Source organism: Homo sapiens, chromosome 6 (genome assembly GCF_000001405.40).
Source record: "Homo sapiens chromosome 6, GRCh38.p14 Primary Assembly".
Lineage (NCBI taxonomy): Eukaryota > Metazoa > Chordata > Mammalia > Primates > Hominidae > Homo > Homo sapiens.
In genome coordinates this window covers 135,334,327-135,346,866 of record NC_000006.12, presented here as the reverse complement: position 1 = coordinate 135,346,866, position 12,540 = coordinate 135,334,327, and the positions used below count along the sequence as shown (strand labels likewise).

Genomic DNA, 12,540 nt, shown 5'->3' with positions numbered 1-12,540 from the left:
AAGTGCACTGGCAGAGTCACCTGTGACCTTGAGAAAGGAAATTACAAACACCTGCTATACTTCAAACTAGGCTACCCACATGCCACAGACAGCTGCTTGAAGAAAAGGAGTGAAGGAATGAGGAGGTGATTGTTTGTATCCCCCAAGAATGAGGTGATGGGGCTGCTTCATCTCTTCCTTGAGACCTACTTGGTAAGCTCACTGTATACACTTAAGTTTCAGCTCATGTTCAAGCATGAATGACTGTCCAGCTCATATTCTAATCTTAATTCTTTTCTTTCTCTTTTACTAGAAAAAAAATCTTTATAATCCATACTTAGACTGTTACCACTTGGTAATTTAAAGAACCTAAAAATAAGCACAGCTTGGCCAGGCATGATGGCTCACGCCTGTAATCCCAGCACTTTGGGATGCCGAGGTGGGCAGATCACGAGGTCAGGAGATCGAGACCAGCCTGGCTAACACACTGAGACCCCGTCTCTACTAAAAATAAAAATAAAAAAAATTAGCCGGGCATGGTGGCGAGCACCTGTAGTCCCAGCTACTCGGGAGGGTGAGGCAGGAAAATGGCGTGAACCCGGGAGGTGGAGCTTGCAGTGAGCCAAGATCGCGCCACTGCACTCCAGCCTGGGCAACAAAGTGAGACTCCGTCTCAAAAAATAAATAAATAAATAAAAATAAAAATAAGCACAGCTCAGTAAAACTCCTGTCTTCCCCAGGACCTTCACTGGGCCTTTCCACTTTAGTTTTCTGTCATTGGTACTACCAGCTGTTTGGTCTTATGAGCAATACTTTGGTGTAATATGTTAAGCTTAGCTAGTTCTCTTATATCCCACAGATGTTGCTTTCTCCTTTGATTATATTTCCACAGTCTCACCTCTTTTGTCCATTTCCATGGCCAGAATCAAGGTTGTCTTCTCTGACATGGAGAAATATGGTCTCCTTACGTGTATTTTTTCTTGCACTGTTTCTTTCTTCATCATAACCAACTACACTTCCTTTAACAATCATTTCCATGATGTTCTTTTTTTATAACAGCTTTATTTGGATATAATTCACATGGCATAAAATGCACCCTTTTAAAGTGTACCATTCAGTGGGTTTTAATATATTTATAGTTTTGCAGCCATCACCTCTATCTAATTTTAAAACATTCGTTGCCCCCCCAGAAGAAATCCCGTACTCATTAGCAATGATCCTTTCCATTTCTTCACCCCTAACAACTACTAATCAACTTTCCATCTCTATGGGTTTGCCTATTCTGGATATTTTATATAAACGCACTGTGTAGCCTTTTGTGTCTGTCTTTTTTCACTTACCGTAATGTTTTCAAGGTTCATCCATGTTGTGGCATGTATCAGAATTTCATTCCTTTTGATGACCAAAAATATTATCAAGTATATGGATATGCTACATTTTTTATCCATTAATTCACTGATGGACATTTGGGTTGTTTCCATTTTTAGCTACCATGAATATTACTCTGTGAGCATTCATGTACAGGTTTTTGCATGGACGTAAGTTTTCCATTCTCTTGGGTGTATATATTTAGGAGTAGAATTGCCGCATCATATGGTAACTCTGTTTAACCTTCTGAGGAACTGTCAAAATGTTTTCCAAAGCAACTGAACCACTTTACGATCACACCAGACATGAATGAGTGTTGCAGTGTCCCCACATCGTAACTTGTTACTGATTTTGTATTATAGCTGTCCTAGTGGATAGGAAGTGACACCTCATGATTTTCATTTGCATTTCCCAGTGACGATAATGTGAGCATCTTCTGAAATGACATTTGTATGTTTTCTTTGGAGAAATGTCTAATTCAAATTCTTTGCTCATTTTCTAATTGGGGAGATTATAATTATGTTTTGTTATATAATTATGTATACTAGATTTTTTTAATATACTGTGTGTGTGTGTGTGTGTGTGTGTGTGTGAATCAGAGCTTATTTCAATAAACTGAGAAATAATTTTTGGTTTTCAGAAATGGAGTTGAAGTAGGCTTGCTCTGCCTGTGGAGTAGCCATTCTTTATTCCTTTACTTTCCTAATAAACTTGCTTTCACTTTATGGATTCTCCTGTAATTCTAAAAAGAAAGAGAGAGAGAGAGAAAGGAAAGGAGAAAGGAAGGGAAAGAAAGAAAAGGAAAGAAAGAGAGAGAAAGAAAAAGAAAGAAAAGGAAAGGAAGGAAGAGAGAGGGAGGGAAGAAGGAAGGAAGAAAGGAAGGGAGGGAGGAAGGGAGGGAGGGAGGGTTTGAAGTTAACAAATCTATATTTGGTTTGGAAAATATGGTCACATAGCTATAGGCATTCTGCAGAAAACATCATTCCTTGTTAATAGTCAAATAACTTAGGAATTTAATAATAATTATACCTAACTCTTATTGAGTACTTAATATGTACCAGGCATATAGTATATAAATATACCTATATAGTATATAAAAATAAATTGTAAAATTTTGTAAAATATATATAAATTTTTAATGTAAATATATTTATATTATTTGTAGCTAATTAAGTTAACCTGTTTATTATTGACTTGTAAGAGTTATTTGTATAGTCTGGATACACGTCTCTTACTAGATACATTTAGCCCTCCGTGTCTGTAGGTTCTGCATTCACAGATTCAGCCAACTACAAATGGAAAACATTTGAAAAAAAATAACAATTTGAAAATAAAAATAGTATAACAACTATTTGTATAGCATTTACATTGTATTAGGTATTATAAATCTGGAGATTAAAGTGTATGGGAGGATTGTGTAAGTTGTATGCAAATACTATTTTATATAAGGGACTTGAACATCCACAGATTTTGTTGTCCAAGGGGAATCCTGGAACCAATCCTCCAAGGGTACCGAAGGTTGACTGTATATGATTTGCAAATATTTTCTTCCATTCTGTAGGTTGTCTTTTCTCTTTCTTGATCATATCCTTTGACACACAAAATTTTTTAGATTTTGATAAAGTTTAGTTTACTTTTTTATTTTGTCACTTATACCTATGATGTTATATCTAAGAAACCATTGCCTGATCTGAAGATTGACTCTCAGATTTTCTTATGAGGGCTTTATATATTTAGCTGTTACCTTTAAGGTCTGTAATCCAGTTTGACTTTATTTTTGTAGATGGTGTGAGTTAAGGATCCAACTTTATTCTTTCGCATTTAGCTGTTGTTGAAAAAAGTGGGGGTTTTTTGTTAGTTTGTTTTTTGGTGTTTTTTTTTTTTCCTTTTAATGGTCTTGGCACCCTTGTTGAAAATCAGGTGACCAAAAATGTAAGAGTTTATATTTAGAGTCTGAATTTTTTTGCATTGATCCATACACACGCCTATTCTATGGTCAGCATTACACGGTTTTAATTACTGTATCTGTAGAAGTTTTAAAATCAGGGTGTGTCCTTCAACCTTGTTCTTTTTCGAGATTGTTTTGGTTATTTTAGATCCCTTGCATTTCCATAGGAATCTTATGATCACCTTCTCAGCCTTTGCAAAATTTTTTATGGGAATTGCATTGAATTCATAGATTAAATTGTGAAAACATTAAGTCTTCCCAGTCTTTTAGCATGGGTCCATTTATTTAGGTCTGTTTAAATTTTTTCAATGGTGTTTTGTGGTTTTCAGCATTTTTTTTGTTAAATTTATTTGTATGCCATTGCAAATGGAATTGGTGTTATGTTCAGATTGTTCATTACTCAGGTAAAGATGTTTGTTGCTTGGGTATAGAAAGACAAGTGGTTTTTTGTATATTGCTCATGTATCCTGAGACCTTTTTGAATCTGTATATTCTAACAGGTTTTTCTGGGGTTTGTTTTTTTTCAGATTTTGTTGGGGGGATCAGTTCTTTGAGATTGTCTGCATACTCTACTAATAGAGATAGTTTTACTTCTCCTTTCCGATCCGGGTGCCTTTTTTTTTTCTTGCCTAATTTTTCCAGTTAGAACCTCCAGTACAATGTTGAAGTGGTATGAATGTCCCTGTCTTTTTCCTAATCTTAGAAGGTAAACTGTCAGTCTTTTACCATTAATTATGAAATTAGCTATGCTGTTATGTATGTGTGTGTGTGTAGCCTATATATAGCCTTTATAGGCTATATATCAGGTTATTATATATTATCAGGTTGAGGACATTTCCTTGTGTTCTTACTTTTGTTGAGTGTTTTTCTTAGGAAATGATGTTAAATTTTATTAAATGATTTTCCATATCTACTGAGTTTGTTCTGTGGATCTTACCTTTAATACTATTAATATGGTCTGTTACATTGGTAGATTTTCATATGTTAAGCCAACCTGTCATTCCCTTGACAAATCCCACTTGTTATGATGTATAATATAATCTTTTTCATATGTTGATTCTGTTTATTGGTATATTTTTGAGGGTTTTGCATCAGTATTCATAAGGGACATTGATCTGTAATTTTCTTGTCTGGTTTTGGGATCATGGTAATACCGATCCCATGGAATGAATTAGAAAATGTTCATTTCTATCTTATTTTAGGGAAGTTTGTGAAGGATTGGTATTTGTTTAAACATTTGGTACAATTCACCAATGATGCATTCTGGGCAGTGTTTTGATTGCTGGTTTAATCTCTTTATTGGCCTATTCACATTTTCTCTCTTCTTCAGTCAGTTTTAAGTTGCATCTTTCTAGGATTTTTTTGTCCCTTTCATATAAGCTATTTGATTTGTTAACATACAATTGATAGTTCATTTCCTTATAATCCATTTCATTTCCCTAAAGTAGTTAATGATACTTCTTCTTTCATTCCTGATTTTATTAATTTGGATCTTACCTTTTGTTTTTTCTACCCTGGCCAGTCTATTTGAAGCTCTGTCAATTTTCTTGATCTTTCGAAGAACCAATTTTTATTTCACTAATTTTCTCTACTCTTTTTCTATTTGTTGTTTTATTTATTTCCACTCTAAATTTTTTTCCCTCTGCTTCCTTTGGGTTTAATTTTTATTTAACAATTTTAAGGTACAGAGTAAAAATATTCACTTGATATCTTTTTCTCTTAATAAAAACATTTACAGCTATAAAATTTCATCAAATTACTGCTTTTTCTACACCCCATACATATTGGTATCGTGTTTTTCTTTTCATTTATTCTCTTGTAATTTCCCTGGGGTTTTATTTTTGGACCCAGTGGTTATTTGGAGTATGTTGTTTACGTTCCATACATTATGAAATTTTCTGTGAATGATTTCTTTTTCAGTTTATCATGGTTGGAGAACATACTTTCTGTGCTTTCAGGTTTTTAAAATTTATTTATTTAAATAAGTTTTATTTGGGGGCCTAACATATTGTCTCCTAGAGAATGTTCTGTGGACAAGAATATGTATTCTGCTTTTGTTAAGTGAAGCATCCTATAGACATCTATTACAGCATTGATTAAATCTTCTATTTTTATGTTGATCTTTATTTTGAGACTGTATCATGTACTTATATGTTTATACTTTTTAAGTCTTCCTGATTGGTTGACCCTTTTATTATTATACAATGTCCTTCTTTGTCTCTAGTGAGTGAGTTTTTGTCTTAAAGTCTATTTTGCCTGATATTAGAATAGCCACTCCAGTTCTCTTTTGATTTCCATTTGCATGGTATGTCTTTTTCCATTTTTCAACAGTCTTGTATCCTTAAATCTGAAGTGTTCTTGTACATAGCTTGTAATTGGATTATTTATTTTATCCATTCTGATAATCTCTGCTTTTTATTTGGAGTGTTTAATCTATTTACACTTAGTGAAATTACTGATAAGATAGGATGATGTCTACAATTTGGTTTTGGAGTTTTATATGTCTGATATATTATCGTTGTTGTTTTTCCTTTGTTTCACCGTTACTCACTTTTGGGCATTAAATTAGTATTTTTTTACTATATAATTTTAATTTTCTTTTCCCTTTAGTATATTTTCTTGAGTTTTTTCAGTGTTTGCCCTTAGAATTACAATTAACATCTCAAAACAATCTAGTTTGGATTAATACCAAGTTAATTTCAGTAGTATATAAAAACTTTGCTCCAAGATAGTTCATTTCCCTTCTGCCTCCTTTGTGCTGGTTTTATACAAATTACATCTTTATACATTTTAAGCCCACCAACTTATTTTTATAACTATTTCTTTACAAAGTTTTTTTTAATTAGATGGAGAGAAAAGAATTACAAACAAAAACATATATATATATATATATATATATATATATATATATATGTATGTATGTATATATATGTACTGGTTTTTATATTTTGTGTAGTTACCTTTATCAGTGTTCTTTATTTCTTTAAATGGATTTTAGTTACTGTCAGTGCTCTTTCATTTCAGTCCGAAGGACTTCTGTTTTTCTTGAAGGGCAGGTCCACAAGCAACAAACTCTCTGAATTATCAGTTATCTTGCAATGTATTTATTTCACCTTTTTTTAATTTATTTTTTCAGTAACCCAGGACACTGCTTATCCTTCCTTTTTTTTTTGTTTGTTTTTGTTTTGGTTTTTGTTTTTTGAGACAGAGTCTCGCTCTGTCGCCCAGGATGGAGTGCACGGTGCGATCTCAGCTTACCGCAACCTCCACCTCCCAGGTTCAGGCAATTCGCCTGCCTCAGCCTCCTCAGTAGCTGAGATTACAGGCATGTGCCACCACGCCCAGCTAATTTTTTTGTATTTTTAGTAGATACAGGGTTTCACCGTGTTGGTCAGGCTGGTCTTGAACTCCTGACCTCATGATCCACCCGCCTCAGCCTCCCAAAGTTCTGGGATTACAGGCGTGAGCCACGGCACCTGGCCCCTTCCTTTTTTCTTTTTTTAAAGGAGTGTTTTGCTGGATGGTTTGAACTCTTGGTTGAGTCTGCTTTCAACACAATATCAAAAGCATCATCCCGCTAACTTCTGGCCTTCACATTTTTTTATGAGATATCTACTGTTAATCTTATTGAGAATCACTTCTGTGTGATGAGTTTTTTATTCTTGTTGCTTTTGAGATCCTATCTTTGGCCTTCAGTCATTTGACCATGATTTGTCTAGATATGGATCTTTTTTAATCTATTCTACTTGGAGTTGATTTAGCTTGTCAATGTGCAGATTAATGTTTTCCATCAACTTTGGGAAGTTTGGGGTCATTTTTCCCCTTTCTCTGACTCTTCTTCTGGGAGTCCTGTTATGCATATGTTGGTACATTTGATGGCATCCTATAATTCTCTGAGGCTCTGTTCATTTTTGTTCATTCTATTTTCCTTCTGTTCCTCAGACTAAATCATCTCAATTTACTTATCTTCAAGTTTACTGATTCTTCTGCCAGTTTATACCTACTATTGAGTCCCTCTAGTGAATATTGTTCTTTTCAACTGCAGAATTTCACTTGTTTTTTAAAATTATATCTCTATATTGATTTTTTGTTTGTTTGTTTGGTGAGGTACATGTATACTTTCTCTTAATTCTTTAGACAAGGTTTCCTTTAGGTCTTTGAACATACTTATAATAGTATTTAAAATATTTGTCTAGTAAGTCCAACATCTGGGCTTTCTCAGAAGCAATTCTGTTAACTATTTTGCCTCCATATGGAGACATACTTTCCTCTTTCCTTGCATGTTTCGTAATTTTTTGATAAGAGGATATTTGAGATTATATAATGTGGCAAACTGGAAATTAATTTCTCTAGTCCTAACTCATATCACCACCTAAGGCAGGTGCAGTGTTAAACAGTTACCATTAATTGCTTTTGACAAATGCCCTAGGGATATAATCATTCACAGCATGCTGTGAGTCACATCTTAAAAAGATGAGCCCTGGGACATGGTGGTGGGCATCTGTAATCCCAGCTACTTGGGAGGCTGAGGCAGGAGGATCACTTGAACCCGGTAGGCAGAGGTTGCAGTGAGCCGAGATTGCACCACTGCGCTCCAGTCTGGGCAACAGAGTGAGACTCTGGGTCTCAAAAAAAAAAAAAAAAGGAAAGATGAGCTCTGGGAATGGAGCTTTTCAGGGAGCTGCTACACAGGTCATAAAGTGACATTTCTTTGCGATTGGGTTTTAGAGGTGCTCCAGACCCATTCTGCCCTGTCTAGTAACTGCTAGGCTGCTAGTTTTCACAGCAGCCATAGTTGTGAGATTGTTGACTTGTAAGGATACCACGGAGTTGGCAAGGGGATGATAAGAATAGAGAAAATTAAAATTCCACAAAGCTTGCTGTTTTTACTGTTATTTGGCTGTTATTCTTAAAATCACACTCCTGAGATTATTGCAAGCCTTTAGTTAGTTTTCAGAGTTCTGATAAAGTTGATTTTGACAGTTAATCCCAGTGTTCTTGCATTGTTGGAGGAGCCCATTTCACTGCTTCACTGTTCTGGAAGTGATTCCCCTTTACTCATTTATCCTTAAGCTCAGAGTTTTCCATTTGTTTCTGAAGATTCTATTTGCTACTTTCTATTTAGCCATTGAAAATGCTTTTTGATAAGTTTTAGAGTCCCCTAATCAACTGTCTACATTTCCTTATGTATCACAATTAGAATTATATGCTAACGTGCTAACGCAGGGATATTTCTCTTTTCTTTTTCTTTCTTTTTTTTTTTTTTTTTTTGAGATGGAGTTTCACCCTTGTCACCCAGGCTGGAGTTCAGTGGTGCGATCTCAGCTCACTGCAACCTCCGCCTCCCAGGTTCAAGTGATTCTCCTGCCTCAGCTTCCCGAGTAGCTGGGATTACAGGTGTGCGCCACCATGCCGGCTAATTTTTTTTGTATTATTAGTAGAGACAGGGCTTCACCACGTTGGCCAGGCTGGTCTCGAACTCCTGACCTCAGGTGATCCACCCACCTCGGCCTCCGAAAGTGCTGGGATTACAGGCGTGAGCCACCGCGCCCAGCCAGGGATGTTTTCTACTATGCTTCTTCATTATCCTTTCTCTTATTATATCCTTATCTTCTTCCCCATAAACCAAATGCTCATATGCATGTACGCGAACTTCTCCTAGAATATTTGGATTGACTTTGGAATTAGATAAGCCTCGGTATTTTAGTAAAATAAGCAGTTAATTACTGATATCTGGCTATCCTCTTTCTCATTTAATTTTAGTACTCAAGATTTCTTCACAGCCTTTTTTTTTTTTTTTTCTTTTTGAGACAGAATCTCACTCTGTAACCCAGGCTGGAGTGCAGTAGCAACATCATCACGGCTCACTGCAGCCTTGACCTCCTGGGTTCAAGCAGTCCTCCTACCTCAGCCTCCTGAGTAGCTGGGACTGCAGATGCACACCACCACACCTAGCTGATTTTTTTAATTTTTTTGTAGAGATAGGGGTCTCACTTTGTTGCCCAGGTTGGTCTCAAACTCCTGGGCTCAGGTGATCCTCCCTCCTTGACCTCCCAAAGTGCTGAGATTACAGGCATGAGCCACTGCACTTGGCCTCTTCACAGCCTTTCCACAGTAACTTTCTTCTATCATTTTAGTAATTTCCTGCACCCTAAATACCAACTTCAGTAACCAAATGGACAGAAATGTTAATGTGTACATATGTATGTATGTTAATATATACATATATGTGTATGTGGTACATGTATGCTGCCACCTTGGTCTAATTTCAATTTCCCATGTAGCTTGCTTGTTTGGTGGCCTCAACAAATTGTGAGTGAGAAATTAGTATGAAGAAAAGTACTTTGTTGATCTTCTTCAGGTGTCTTCATTATTAATAAAGAAATGCCAAGTCTTTAAGACCCTTTTTTTTTGGCATAATTTTAAGGAAAGTGACAAGCAGTGAACCAAGCAGGTTTGTGTTCCCATGGTTCCATGAGGGCTTATAATGTAAGTCTAGTGATTAAGAAGAGCATAGACGTGGGAGAAAAGCAGACTTGCTTACATCTCTATTCTGCTAAACTGTGTAACTTAAAAATAACAGTTATTTTAGTTTATAGTTAAGGAAACTAAGGCATGATAAATACTAAATGGGGTAGTTATGAATATATGTGTATGTGTGTGTGTATATGTGCACACACATATATGTATAGTATAAAATGGTTAACACCTTCCTGACACATAGCAAGCATTAAGTAAATGGTAGATACCTATATTCCTAAATATATCTAGACAGATACACAGGCATGTCTATAATGTATCAGATGATTAATAGTAACAGTAAATGAACATCAATGCTGAGAGAAAACCCAACTGAGGTCTGTATGATTGTTTTAGAGCTAATGAGTTCTAAAACCTTGGTTGAATAAAATTAAAGCATCTAAATGAGATGTTTAAGAAACAGAATATCTCATAAGATACAGGAGATTATTGTAAAGGCAGGGTCTCACTTTGTCATCTAGGCTGGAGTGCAGTGGCATGATCTCAGCTCACTGCAGCCTCGACTTCCAGGGCTCAAGCTATCCTCCTGCCTCAGCCTCCCAAGTAGCTGGGACTACAGGCATGCATCACCATGCCTGGTTAATTTTTGTATTTTTAGTAGAGACAGGGTTTCACCATGTTGTCTAGGCTTGTCTCGAACTCCTGGACTCAAGCGATCCGCCCACCTCAGCCTCCCAGAGTGCTGGGATTTACAAGTGTGAGCCACCACCCCCAGCCCAGGCTACACTAAATTTATTTAAAAATTAATTGTGCTGTGACATTATGACAGCTATAATGTAAGAAGGCAATAGGAATTTTTCAGCTCCATTATCATATGGGACCACTGTCATATATGCAGTACGTCATTGACTGAAATGTTATTATGTAGTGTATGTCTGTATTTATAAATATGGAATTTTTTTTTTTTTTTTTTTTTTTTAGACGGAGTTTCGCTCTAGTCATCCAGGGTGCAGTGCAGTGGTGCGATCTTGGCTCACTACAACCTCTGCCTCCTGGGTTCAAGTGATTCTCCTGCCTCAGCCTCCTGAGTAGCTGGGACTACAGGCGTGCTCCACCACGCCCAGCTAATTTTTCTATTTTTAGTAGAGATGGGGTTTCACCATGTTGGCCAGGCTGGTCTCAAACTCCTGACCTCAGGTGATCCACCCACCTAGGTTGGGATTACAGGCGTGAGCCACCACGCCGGTCCTGTTTATATATTTCTAAAATGTTTTATAACTAATGAAACTGTATCTGTAAATCATGAGTAGGATGTTATTTACAAATACTTGGATTTATTCTCATTTAAAAATATTGTCTGTGTCTATTACTAGTAATTTTACATTTGCTTACAGCTTACAGTTCATTAAGAGAATTTAAAATAATTCATTATACTTTTCTGAAATAATTCATGCACAAATTATTATTTTAATATTATATATCTGCATGCACCTTGGTACTATTTATTAGCAACATAAAAGTAGAAAAACAGAAGAGTAACTTGTACAAATGTTAGAGGTACCCTTTTTTTTGAAAAGGAATACCAAACCAAATACAATGTAACATCCCAAAAAATGGAAGCTCTCTGAGAGTGGTTTTTTTTTTTAAATTTCTTTTATTCATTATTCTCTCCTTAGCCTGTAAGAGATTTGATAATAGGTAACTGATGATTGTTGTTGGATGAACAGATTCAATTTTTAAAGTTTGCATATTTTTCTATTTTAAAATTTGGCTAATCTTTAAGAGATTGTAAGGAAACCTAAAAATTATATACTATACTCCTAGTTGCAGTTTGAGCATAAGATTGTTGAAAAAAAATGACAAAGTAGATGTTAAATTGACCAAATCTGGAGCTAGTGAGCATTTCAGTGTGACATGTGGGAAACTAAGCAAGATAAGTAAAGCTAATAACTCAGAAAGCAAGAGTAGGTTAATTTCGTAAGTTTGGCCAGTAACATTCTAAGATTCGACTTTATATTTTAAATTATCTTTCTTACCCATTCAGTTACTACTTGATATGTGCAGAAATAAGTATATATGTCTTATAAAGTAGACCAGTAAAATAAAGTATTAACTAAACGTTAGGTACATCAGAATTGCTGAAAGACTTGCTAAAACACAGATTACTGGGCCATCCCCAGAATTTATGATGCACTTGATTTGGAATAGGGCCCAAGAATTTACATTTCTAACAAGTTTCCAGGTGATGTTGCTGCTGCAGGTCTGGGGAATACGTTTTGAGAACCCTAATCTAAATCAGTGATTCATAATTTTCTTTTTATAGTGAGCAGATTATCCCTCCCAAGAAAGAAAATGAAAATACACTATGATTTTTTCTTCTCTTAACAAATCTGTAGTCCAATGTATAAAGGTCTGCAGAATTCTCTTGATTTATTTTTAGGGAATAGCCAATAAAAAGATGTTATTTTAGAAACTTTTTCAATGTAATACCGATTATTTCTTATAATAAAGTATGTGAATTGTGATTCGCAGTAAGAAAAGGTTTAATTCATACCAATTGTCTTAGTCTGTTTGGGCTGCTGTAACAAAATACCATAGACCGAGTGACTTATAAATGACTGAAGTTTATTTCTCACATTTCTGGAGACTGGGAAGTCCAAGCTCAAGGGACTGGCAGATTTGATGTCTGATGAGGGCTCATTTCCTGGTTCATAGATGACATCATCATGCTGTGTCTTCACAAGTGGAAAGGGCAGGGAAGCTCT

General features: G+C 35.6%; 1 protein-coding gene across 18 annotated transcripts in view; it reads left to right on the top strand.

Moving 5' to 3' along the window:
• Window positions 1-12,540, top strand: part of AHI1 (Abelson helper integration site 1) — a 214,209-nt gene that overhangs the window by 150,874 nt on the left and 50,795 nt on the right. For 2 of the 18 annotated variants that reach the window (XR_007059276.1, XM_047418944.1), the window contains one exon: window positions 71-192. The exons of the other annotated variants lie outside the window; for them this stretch is intronic. Coding sequence is in view for 1 of the 2 variants with exons in the window: in XM_047418944.1 (XP_047274900.1) it covers window positions 71-100 (30 nt within the window). In the remaining variant the exon portion in view is untranslated. Of the gene's footprint in view, window positions 1-70; window positions 193-12,540 lie in introns of those variants that run through there. 18 annotated transcript variants of the gene reach the window in all.